Source organism: Homo sapiens, chromosome 18 (genome assembly GCF_000001405.40).
Source record: "Homo sapiens chromosome 18, GRCh38.p14 Primary Assembly".
NCBI classification, from domain to species: domain Eukaryota; kingdom Metazoa; phylum Chordata; class Mammalia; order Primates; family Hominidae; genus Homo; species Homo sapiens.
In genome coordinates this window covers 30630224-30641832 of record NC_000018.10, presented here as the reverse complement: position 1 = coordinate 30641832, position 11609 = coordinate 30630224, and the positions used below count along the sequence as shown (strand labels likewise).

Here is an 11609-nt window from a genome sequence, read left to right as displayed (position 1 = left end):
TTGAGAAAATGAAATTGTAAAACTGTTGTTCCAAGACTCAAAGTCAAGTCATTGTGGGTGATTGGAAATTCTTCCTATATTGGCAAATTACATACTCTTTGTACCTACTTCGAGATAGCAAGATTCAGCTCTTAAAAAAAAATCAGGAAAAGACTGTTTCTCCACCTTCTAAGTAGAATAGTATCAAAGCAAAGAAACAACATGGGTTGTTCTTGAAGGTCTTCAGGGAAAATTTTAGATCACTTTAATAATATATTCAGGTATTAAATATGGCCCCAGGTCAGAAACCATTGTAATCTAATGACTGAAAGCATTAAACTAAAAGCCTCTTTAGATCTTAGTTCTGAGACTCTGTAAAAGCGTTTTTGATACAGAGAAGTCATAACACATCCATATGTTTTGGTTTCTCCATATGTAAAAACAGAATAACTGCTGCTTCTTCATCAGATGCTGAATGGATCCACAAGGCAATTGCTGCCCCAAAGACCACTAGGGTGACTACATAGTAGAAAGAGAACTTTATTGGTGATATTAGTTTGCAAGCCAGGAAGAGACAGTCTCCAGCATGGGGTGAAGGTGCTCTCTCTTCAAAAAGGGGAAGGACGGGTTGGGTTTTGTGCCTCCTCAGGCTGGTATCAAACATATTCAGCAGGTTTGGGAGGAAAGCTATACATATATGAGGAGAGCCGAATGCGTGTAATTGGGTAAACAAGTATGTAACATACATCCTATGTTCATTCTGGGGAAGGTTTTAGTGTTAAAATAAGGTGGAATTTGCGTCTTTATGTCAAAAGGTGAACTACAGGATACAAAGAAAATGTGTGTGCAGCCTCTATAAGCTGGCTGAAACTGGCCTAAGATCTGCAGTAGTTTATTAGAAAAGACTTTTTTGTAAGGTTGCTGCTCTGTACAATCAGAGTTGTAGCTGATACCTCCTATTGTCGGGAGTTTAGCCCTCAAAATTTAGAAATTTGCCATTCCAGCCAGGCCCTAAACCCTTGACTCATAACTTTGTTTCCTTCTTTTGGGCCCATCTTAGTTGATAGAGGGGTCTCTTTTGGTCTCTCAGATCACACAATCTGTTAGAACAGCTTGTCCCCAACCTTTTAAGCATTAGGGACCAGTTTCGTGGAAGAAAATTTTTTCCATAATTTTACCATAATGTAGAATCAGTGGGAGCCCTGAGCTTGTTTTCCTTCAGCTAGATGGTCCCTTCTTGGGGTGACAGGACACAGTGAAAGATAATCAGACATTAGATTCTCATAAGAAGCATGCAACCTGGATCCCTCACACGCACAGTTCCCAATATGGTTTGCACTTCTATGAGAATCGTATGCTGCTGCTAATCTGGCAGTAGGCAGAGCTCAGGTGAGTGACGGAGAGCAGCTGTAAATACAGATGAAGCTTTACTTGCTCACCTGCCGCTCACCTTCTGCCGTATGGCTCGGTTCCTAACAGGCCATGGACAGATACCAGTCAGTGGTCCGAGGGGTTGCAGACTTCGTATTAGAAGACACTTCAGACTGTACAGTAATAAGGCCCTCTACAATGTATCACAATGGCAAATTGTTCTTGCTTTTTATTTAATCCAAATATCTTTTATTATTTAAGGATATTTCCTCCTGGACAGTGGCCTGAAGAATTTGTTTGCCACAGCTTATTTGCCATAAGATCCTTCCCAATAGTTTGGCCCAGTGTTTTCCCTTCTGATTGCAGCCATCATTTGTCTGTGGAATCTGACTCTAGAACTCTCTTTCTGCACTTTCATGCATGTTGTGAACCTCTAAATGAACCCAGACTGTTCATGAAGGCCAACAGGGCCTACTATGAACAGCTTTTAACAGCTGATTTATGCTGTTAAAAGAGTGACTTCATCTTAGTTTTATCAGTTTTTGCTCTCCCAGCTCTCAAATTCCATGATTCTAATGGTACATGTGAAAATTCTGAGTGGGTTTAGTTTCCTCATTATAAAGATCTCTGACCCTATCACATGCTAAATAAAGGTAAGTTGGATAAAATCATATTAAGAACCTTTATTTGAGGGTTTGATTAGGAGGTACAGTACTCCCTCACATATCTGTAATTTCTTTTCAGTTATCCATGGTCAACTGCTATCCCAAACTATTAAATAGAAAATTACAGAAAAGAAAACTTCATAAGTTTTAAATTTCATACCATTCTGAGTGGCATGACGAAATCTCATGCTGCTCTGTTCTGTCCCCTGGGATGTGAATTACCCCTTTGTCTAACTTATGCACACTGTGTATGCTCCCTGCCTCTTAGTCATCAACATTCTCTGCTCCTTATATCCAACTATTGACGACGATGTGGCTTTATGATCCAGGATAGCCCAAAGCAAATGACCCTCCTTCTCACATACTGTCAGAAGATCAGTGGTAGTCTAAAGCTATGTCACATTGTCTATGTCTGTCACCTCACTTCACATCAACATGTAGGCATTTTTTCATTCGCATCATCACAAGAAGAAAAAGAATGAGCACAATAGAATAAGATATTTTGAGAGAGAGATAACATTCACATAACTTTTGTTACAGTATATTGTTATAATTATTCTATTTTATTATGAATTATTGTTGTTCATCTTTATCTGTGCCAAATTTACAAATTAAACTTTACCATAGATTTGTATGTATAGGAAAAAAACATAGTATGTATAGGGTTCAGTACTAGCTGTGGTTACATGTATATACTAGGGATCTTGGAACATGCCCCCATGGATAAGGGGAAAGTTCTGTATTTAATTGGAGAGTTTTCTCTATGAGTTCGACTGAAGGGCTTCACTTAGTGGAGAATGAAGTAAGGTGACAGTGTATGGAAAGTGCTGCTGAGCTTCAAAAACAAGCCTCTTTTTTTGAGCACATTATTTTTACAGTTTCTTCCAAGGTAGTTCTTAACTCAGAACATTTGAAAGCTATTCCTCTGTAGGAGAAGACAGTGACACACAAATGGAACTCAATACTTGCAGTAGCACACACAGCTCAAGAGAATGTTTAATGTAGGGCAGAAAAAGTAGCTCTGACTTTTACCATTGTCTTTCTGTACCAATCATCTACACATCTGACAGATTAGGACGGCGGTGTGTGCAAAAGTAGTTTCAACAGACATGATTCTAAAGGCAGGATTGGACTATAATTTTTATGCCACTAAAATAACCTGTAAAACACATTGAACAATCAATCATGCCATAAATTGTACATTTGCAAATATTCCTGGATACTTGGAATCTCCCAAGCTAGAGGAAATTTTAACACCAGAGGTAACTGGCCAATCTTGCAGAAGGAGAAAAATTTGATTAAGAAACACTAAAAAGGGATTTGGAAGATATGGACATCTGAACACGGGTGCAATATGGGGAAAGAATCTCAGCATTCCCAGTCTGAAAGGAAACTAAAGACGATCTTTCTTTTAAGTTGAACAATAGGTTTATTTTTAGAGAGTAACTATAAAACAAACTGTAACTGTGCTTTCATTTAGTACTTTTGAAAGTGTTAAGCTGGTGTCAGGTACTTTTAATATACCACTTCTTGCTTTAAGTAGGTCCTATCTATGTCCCCCAAAATTCACCTGGCTTTTTCACCTACATCTTCCACCTATACCCACTCCCCACTATATCAGGCTTTTGATAATACACAGAAATGGACTCACCTAACCCATTTTCTTGGAGACAAATCAGAATGTGAAACTCCAATCAAAAGAGGATTTGAGATCCCTTGGCAACCTCATCCCTGTGTTTAGCTAGACTTGGGTCACAATTTGGAGTTTGGTTTTGACTTACAACCCTCAGCAGTGTGAGGAAACAAAGACATAGTTTTCACGGACTCTCTCTGCTTTACTGTGTTGCAGACTGACTTTAAGCTTCAGCCTACGAGCAACACAGACTTAGGTTTTATCCAACCTCTGCTAGGAACCACCTTTCTAACTGCGGATGAGCCACGTGATCATTAAGAATATTACCCCCAGAGGATTAGCCTTAGGAAATTTATAAACTCAGGTAATATGTATACCTCGTAGAAGGGAGACACTCAGTAAACAGTAATTATGTGATGATAGTATTCACAGATTATGTATATTATCCAAAGTTGCCAAGAATGCAGCTCTGCAAATAAATCACTTGGTACCTAATGTCATATTGGCAAATAATTAACTTCTTGGTTTTAATCTTTGACTCTTTTGCCACCTGCTCTCTGGGTCCTCTCCATGGCTGAACTTCCCTTCTCAACTCTATCAATCTAGGCTTTCTCTGTTTCCTAGTTCCAGGTTACAGTGATGTACCATGAAAGAAAACACTTTCAAACCTAGAAAGATACTCTGAGGTAAGAAAACTTTTAAACACTGTAAAAGATCATCATTCTGGTTTATTAAGGTTATGGTACTTTGTCTAGCTGGCTAGCATTCATTCATCACTCTTACCCCTATAGCTAATGCAGCCATGATACTCAGCTTATTCTTCCTACCAAATTTGCCTTAATCCCATTTACTTTTTCCTTCCCATCTACCTCCACAGAAGGCCATCATCTTGCAGTACTGCAATTCTTTGTGAACCATTCTCCCAGCTTTCATTCCAGCTACCTCCCTCCCGTCATTCCTCCCAGATCACTTCAAGATGCTCTCCTTGCTTTCAGGATACAACAAAGTCCTGCTGCAGCCTTCATGTCTTTCATGGCCTGACTTCTGACCACAGGCTCATCCTCTGCTCCTCTTCCTTTCAGTCTAGGCACCCCAGTCCCAGTGTTTTATCTTGGTTCTTTCTGCAATGTCTTTAGGATGGATTTTTTTTTTTTTTTTTTTCTGAAATGCCCACTCTTCTCCTCCTCCTCCTCCATCATTAGAGTTAATTTCAGTTCATCTTTTGGAATTTAGCTCAAATAGTATTTCCTCAAGGAGTGTGTCCCCAACTTTCCTGACCTCCCCAAAGCAGCCAGGTCTGCAGTTCATGATAGGTACCTAGTGTACTCTTGTCTTGTTGCAGCACTCATTACTACTGCCATTTAATAGTCAATTTTGCAATTAGCAGCTTAATAACTGTCTCTGCTGCTGGGATGTAGCTTCAAGAGAGCAAGAACTGTTTAACTTTCTTTTCACCATCTACATTTGTAAAACTGTTATAATAGAAGCTTCTGCTATGTAGAAAAAATAGATGACGCAGGAAAAGTGATTGGTATGGGTTAATTGTACCCAGTAACAGCATGCACCAAAATAATATTACTATAGCTAGTGTGTTGTATGGTGGAGGAGGGAGTAGGCTGTATGAATGAGAGAGCAGGTTTCTACTCATTGATTGTCTAGAAATGCGTTATCAAGAGGTGAACTCACAGACGGAAAGGCTGGAGCTGCCTTGACAAACTGAGATGAGCTTAATTCTAGAACAAAGCAGGAGTCCATGCATGGAATTGAGCTACAACATTAGAAAGAAACTTACATGGTGAGTTATTGCCACAATATTGAAGTGAAAGAATTTTAAAACCTCAAGTCTGAGGTTTGAATGTCAGACCCATGGAACTGTCAGCAGACCTGAGCCCTGTACTGGGTAAGACGTGGACTTACCGAAGGAAAAGGGTGACCACCAAGAGAAGATAAATAAGCTGAATTATTTAAATTCATCATTAAATAAGTTGAAGTTCTGGTACTGCAAAGTGCAGGAATCCTCAGTCCTTAGTAGTCTTGGGAGAAAGAATTTGGCCAAGAGGCCAACTGGCCTAAAAAGATAATTTATTGAAGAAAAATAGAGGGCAGAGAGTTTATTTAGAGAGAGAGTACACTCTGAATAATGAGGTAGACTGGGATGCTGAAAGAGAATGAGCCAGCAGCAATCCCAAGAGTACTGCATTGGGTTTTCATGATGTTGGATTTTTTCTTGAAGTTCCTGCCTCTGTCTTTGCTTTTTTTTTTTTTTTTTTTTTTTTTTTTGAGACAGAGTCTCGCTCTGTCACCTAGGCTGGAGTGCAGTGGTGTGATCTCGGCTCATTGCAACGTCTGCCTCCCAGGTTCAAGCGATTCTCCTGCCTCAGCCTCCTGAGTAGCTGGGATTACAGGTGCGCACCATCACGCCCAGCTAATTTTTGTATTTTTAGTAGAGACGGAGTTTCACCATGTTGGTCAGGCTGGTCTTGATCTCCCAACCTTGTGATCCATCTGCCTCAGCCTCCCAAAGTGCTAGGATTACAGGCATGAGCCACTGCACCCGGCCTCTGCTTTTTCATCTTTATTTTCTCACTGCAGCCTTAAGTCCCCACTTTTGCCCCTGTCTAGTTCCCCCCTGCCTAGTTCCTGCCCAGAGTTGTGGGATTTTCCCTTACTATTAATTGATGAGCATGCATGGGCCCAGTGTTGGATACAAATTCTACCTAATGGCAGCATTGCTTATTACCGACACCCCAGAAAGGGTGTATAACAATCAAATCTATACTTATTACACCTGTGTATCAGTCTAGACATGCATATTCCTGGTGGTCTCTGGGGTGTGAGATTTTCCAGACCTCCCTTTTCTCAGGGTCTCTCCTCCTGCTCATGTCTTGCCATCTACCTACTCTAATAGTTCTATGCTAAAAATTTATTTTAAAGTCAGGTACTGTGGAAGGATTATTTGAAGAGGTCTACTCTTTTCACAAGGAAGCTTCGGTGTTGTCATTCTCTTCATTGATGGTAAACTGCCTACAGAGAAAGCTTTTTGTGTTATATCAACTATTGGCCAAGATTAATGCCACATGAAAACTGCAAAAGAGAAAGCCACTAAAGAGAAGTTATTCTTAGTGATTGGGACCCTCTGGCCTTAAGAAAAGGCAAATTCTATCAGATTAAGAGAATCCAGACAAGTGTACTTCAGCTACTAAAATTTCTCTCCTGTTAAAGTCATTGAAGAATTTAAAAATAGTCAGCAGCAGTGGAGTAAAAAGCTGTAAATATTTTGAGACTCTAAATGTTTCTGAAGATCCCCAGTCTTTCTTTAAATGCAGACAAAGGTGAAATAAATTTAGTTTTTTTAATACCACTTCTGTATTTGGTCCTGCAATCCACATTTACTCTAAATTTTTGTTTTGTTTTATTTTAATCTTAAAGTAGTCTGAAAGTAGTAGTATATTATTTCTAATTTGTTATGACTAATAATAAATGTACTTGGCATTTGAGAGCAAGTTTATCCATCTTCAAAAGCTGTGTTCTGATTTTTTTCTCCCAAAGGTAATAAAAAAAACTTCTAAAGTTTCTTCCAATTCTAAAATTCTAAAAATATATTTAAATTGTAGCATTAAGAATCTTCCTTCTGGCAAAACTTCAACATGTTTAAATGCAATTCTGTACATATTCCTTCCTGCACCTGAAAAACTGAAAGTGGTTTGAGAAAAAACATAAAAATGCTGACAGGACTCATTTTAAATTCATTATTACAAACCTCAAAGGGGCTTTACTCCTTCCAGGCAATCCTACTCTATACTTCTCTGGTAAATTCACTCTGTCATTCAACTCTTATTGGCTCTTCTTTCCTCAAAGCTCTATAACCTTGTCTTTCTTCTAACTCTAAGTTACTAACCATGCCATTCATGAATAGAAAAATTGGAAAACTTCTAGATGTGTATAATTACATGTTGACCAACTCAGCTGTTATCTGTACATTTGTTTTCTCTGTATTATGTTATAATGAATTGACTTACTGCCACAATCTAATGACACCAAGCTCAATCTGCACATTGCATTCTAATATCTCATTAATTTTTGGATATTCCTCCTTAAATAGTTTCTTCTCTCTCAGTTATTATCAATTTTTTTCATATCTACTGGAACATTGCAAGGACTATGTGTATGTGTATATGATAGAGGTAGGAGGCAGAGAAATTCTAGGCAGACAGAGGCAGGTCCCTGTCTTGAAACTCCACCTTCAAGCCAAAAAGCCTGAAACCCATGGCCCAAAGTGAAAACTTCTATTCCTGTTTGCCCACTCTCTCCCAATTGGTTCTTTCTGAATAATGTATTTTTACCAGCCAAATATTGCCTTTTCCAAAACTACCTACTGCTCACCCTGCCCCAATCCTGTGCCTATAAAGACCCCAGACTCAGCCAGTAGAGAGAGAAAGACCCCTGGAATTTGGGGAAGGGATAGCTTGACTTCAGAGAAAAGATGGGTGGACTTCGGGGAGAAAATGGCCTGACTTTGGGGAAGACTACCTGCCCTCCCAATCCCCTCTCCAGCTCCCCTCTCCACTGAGAACCATATCCAGTAAAGTTCTCTGCTTCACCATCCTTCAAGTGTCCATGCAACCTCATACTTTTTGAACACCAAACTAGAGCTCGGGAATCATTGAGTGTAGATACCCAAAAAGGCTGTCATACCAGCTATTTGTCCTCGCCAATGGAGGGCAGCTGCCCCATGTAATGAGGCAAGGGGCCAACTGAGCTGTTAGCACACAGTCATCCATGAACAGCAGAGCTAAGAGAACACTGTAACACTCCCTCTGGGGCTTTGGGGTCACAGGCACCTCCACCTGGGTGCAGTTGTGGGCCCCACATGGAGCTTGCTCCTGCGTCAATGCCCAGAGTGGCTGGCTGGGTACTGCACTCACTCAGGTTCTCACTCCTTCAAGAGGTTGAGTGCGGTGGGCCAAGTAAACATTCACCCCTGTCATGAGTCTGACAAAGAGGATGAGAAAAATCCTGCATCATCTGGGGGCTTGTCTGGGATTCCTCAAATGGGTGAGTAAATGCAGATCTGACTCTTCATGTTTTCTGCAAGACTTCTTGTCCTCAGACTTTCCTCTGAAGGCTGATGAAGCACCAAACCTCTGAGGGGCCAGGTAAGGGCAAATGGCACAACTGTAGAGGACAGGATGTGACCCTGCCACCTCTCTCTTTTTCAGGTGAAAGGGCTGTTTGCTTTGTTTCCCTTCACAGAGATCTAGCCATTGTGTGGAACTGGAAAAAGGTCCTGGGCAACCAAAGGCCTCTTTCTGAGGCCACTCTTCAGTGTTGCTAGAAGGCCTGTAGACTGGCCCTGTCCTCAACCCCCGATAAGGGTGTCAGCCAAGACCCCCAGAATTTTTAATGGTATTTTTCCTTCCTTCTTTCATGGTTTGAAATGGCTTCTATTTCTTTTTCTTTTTTTTTAATAATATTAATGGTGTGACTGCAAACTGCAGAAACATTACTGGGTAGAATGAACATTTGGCCCCGCCATCAGACATGCAGTTCAGAACAATGTGATTTCTGTCTGTTCTTACAGATGCATTACCCAACCCCATCCCAGCAGCTGCAGGTGCACAGTGGACAGATGGGTACATATCAGCTCTCTGCTCCTCCCTCCCCTCTCAGCTGGAATGTGTGGCCAAGGCTGCTGTGTGCACACACTGTGCCCAGTGACCACCTGGAGTGGGAGTGAGCCACGGCCACAGCTTGGGCCCCAGGGCTGTCTCTGAGGCCAGGGGCCCTGCACAGCCATCTGGCCAGCATTTCCTACCCACTTCCCCCTCCTGCCACATGACTGTGGGCCTTTCCTCTCCTGGCCAAGGGGTCCATCTCAATCTGAATCAAAATAAGGGAACACCAATTAAGAGTCTCTCCCTATTGAAAGAATCCATTTGCATAGAGAAAGAAGTGTTTTTCCCCCCAGGCACTGTCCCTGCCCTGCACTTAGGCTTTCTTTTTTCTTTTCTCCACCACATGAGGAGTTAACACAGCCCTGCAAATGCAGGGAGCTTTTCTATGCAAGAGGTTTTTTTCCTACCTTAGCACTCTGCTTATGATAGGGAAGCAACAGAGGAGAGACCTCGCCAGCTGCTGGCTGCAAATTTGGTGAGGGCTGTCTGGGACTTCACTTAAATAAATATGTGAACTTTCCTGAGACACATTTTTGCCTCAAACTCAATTTCAACCTTCAGGCTAAAGCCCTAGTAAGGGAAACTGGATCTGAGGGATCCAGAGGCACAGGACAATGGAAGTCAATGGACACAGCACAGGTGAGCATGACTAATTATTGCTGATTAAGCCCCCATTTCATGGATAGAGGTCATGCTAGTATCCATGGCATAAATGAGGTCTAGGGAACGCAAAGGCTACTGACAATAGGGAGGACAGATGGCATAGGTAAATGCCATTATATCCTTCATCTAGGACCCCTGACGCAGGGGGCGTGCAGGTCACCCTCACATTCATCTGTTTACGTGGCATCTGTCTAGGTCACCAGGACTTGGGGATAAAAAGACAGGAGAAAAAATAAGAATGCCCTTTTTTCTCTCCCTTAGACACCCCAGGTTCTCACTGAAAGAGAGAAAAGAACTAAGGGGCATCTAATTCCCTCTCTCGTAGATGGATAATCAATTATCTTCAGTCTACACTTCTCTGGAGTGTATCCTGAACCACTGGGACTGCTTTGACCCTCAGATTCTGGAGAAAAAATACCTCATAGCACTTTGTACAAAATTTTGGTCATATTATGATTTCCAGGAAGGACTTGGCCTCAGGAAGGTAACATTCATTTAAATGCCATCCTGCAGCTGGATCTTTTCTGTAAATGCAAGGGTGAATGATCTGAGGCCCCATATGTGCTGGCTTTCTTTACCTTGAAGGATAATTCAGACCTTTGCCAACATTGTAGGATTGATCCAGCCCTCCTGTTGGCCATCTCAGAAGAAGCTGCCAGGGGCAATCCCAGGAAACTAAAGAAGCAACCCCTAGAGGCACCTACAACAGGGGAGCCAGCTCTTTCCAGCCCTGCTCCTCTGGGTCCACCCTGTCCTCCCTATTCAGTTTCTCTCTTCCACTTGTCCCCTCCTAGAAACCCTCACTCTAGACAATCCCCAGTCTCACTCCTGCCCCTACAAAAGATGCCTAGTGAATATGGCCCCAGTAAGGTCCAAGTCACCTTCTCTCTCCAGGACTTAAGGCAAATTAAGGGGGATCTTGGCAAAAGTTCCAATGACACTGACAGATATGTATAGGCTTTCCAGACCTTAGCCCAAGTATTTGAACTCTCCTGGAAAGACATTATGTTACTTTTGAAACACACCCTAACACTGAGAAGCAGGATGCTCTGCAAGTGGAAGAGAGATTTGGGGATGAGCTTTGTATCTCATGTAGTATCAGGGAAGGAGATGAGTTTTATTCAGTTGGAAGAGAAGCAGTGCCATTGAACAACCCCAAATGGGATCCCAGTGATAAAATGGGAGAATGGAAGAGAAATACTTTCAGGTGTGCATACTGGAGGGCTTATGTAGGACTAGCACTAAGCCTCTCAACTACTTCAAACTATCCATGATAAATCAGGGATTTGATGAGAATTCCACTGCCTTCCTAGAAAAGCTAAGAGGGGCCTTGGTAAAACACACCTCTATTTCCTTATTAAGTTAAGGGACAACTAATCTTATCAGATAAATTTATTACTCAGGCAGCCTTTGATATCAGGAGGAAACTGCCATAAGACAAGATAGTACTTTAGAGAACCTTCTGAAAGTGGCCACTTTGGTCTTTTACAATAGAGATACGGAGGAGGGCCAGTGGAGAGAGAGGAGAGACAAGAAAATGGTGGAGGCTTTAATGGCTGCATTTCAGGCCCGCCAAATCCAGAATCCCTGGGATGCACCTGGTAACTGCTATCAATGTGACAA

General features: G+C 41.6%; 2 annotated features.

Annotated features, from left to right (window-relative positions):
- Positions 8866–9588: an enhancer, noted in NCBI's record as "NANOG-H3K27ac-H3K4me1 hESC enhancer chr18:28212211-28212933 (GRCh37/hg19 assembly coordinates)". NCBI's record gives its function as "activates a minimal SCP1, AML or CMV promoter by ChIP-STARR-seq in naive and primed H9 embryonic stem cells {active_cell/tissue: H9 hESC(naive and primed)}" and the evidence as "EXISTENCE:reporter gene assay evidence [ECO:0000049][PMID:30033119]".
- Positions 9589–10313: an enhancer, noted in NCBI's record as "NANOG-H3K27ac-H3K4me1 hESC enhancer chr18:28211486-28212210 (GRCh37/hg19 assembly coordinates)". NCBI's record gives its function as "activates a minimal SCP1, AML or CMV promoter by ChIP-STARR-seq in primed H9 embryonic stem cells {active_cell/tissue: H9 hESC(primed)}" and the evidence as "EXISTENCE:reporter gene assay evidence [ECO:0000049][PMID:30033119]".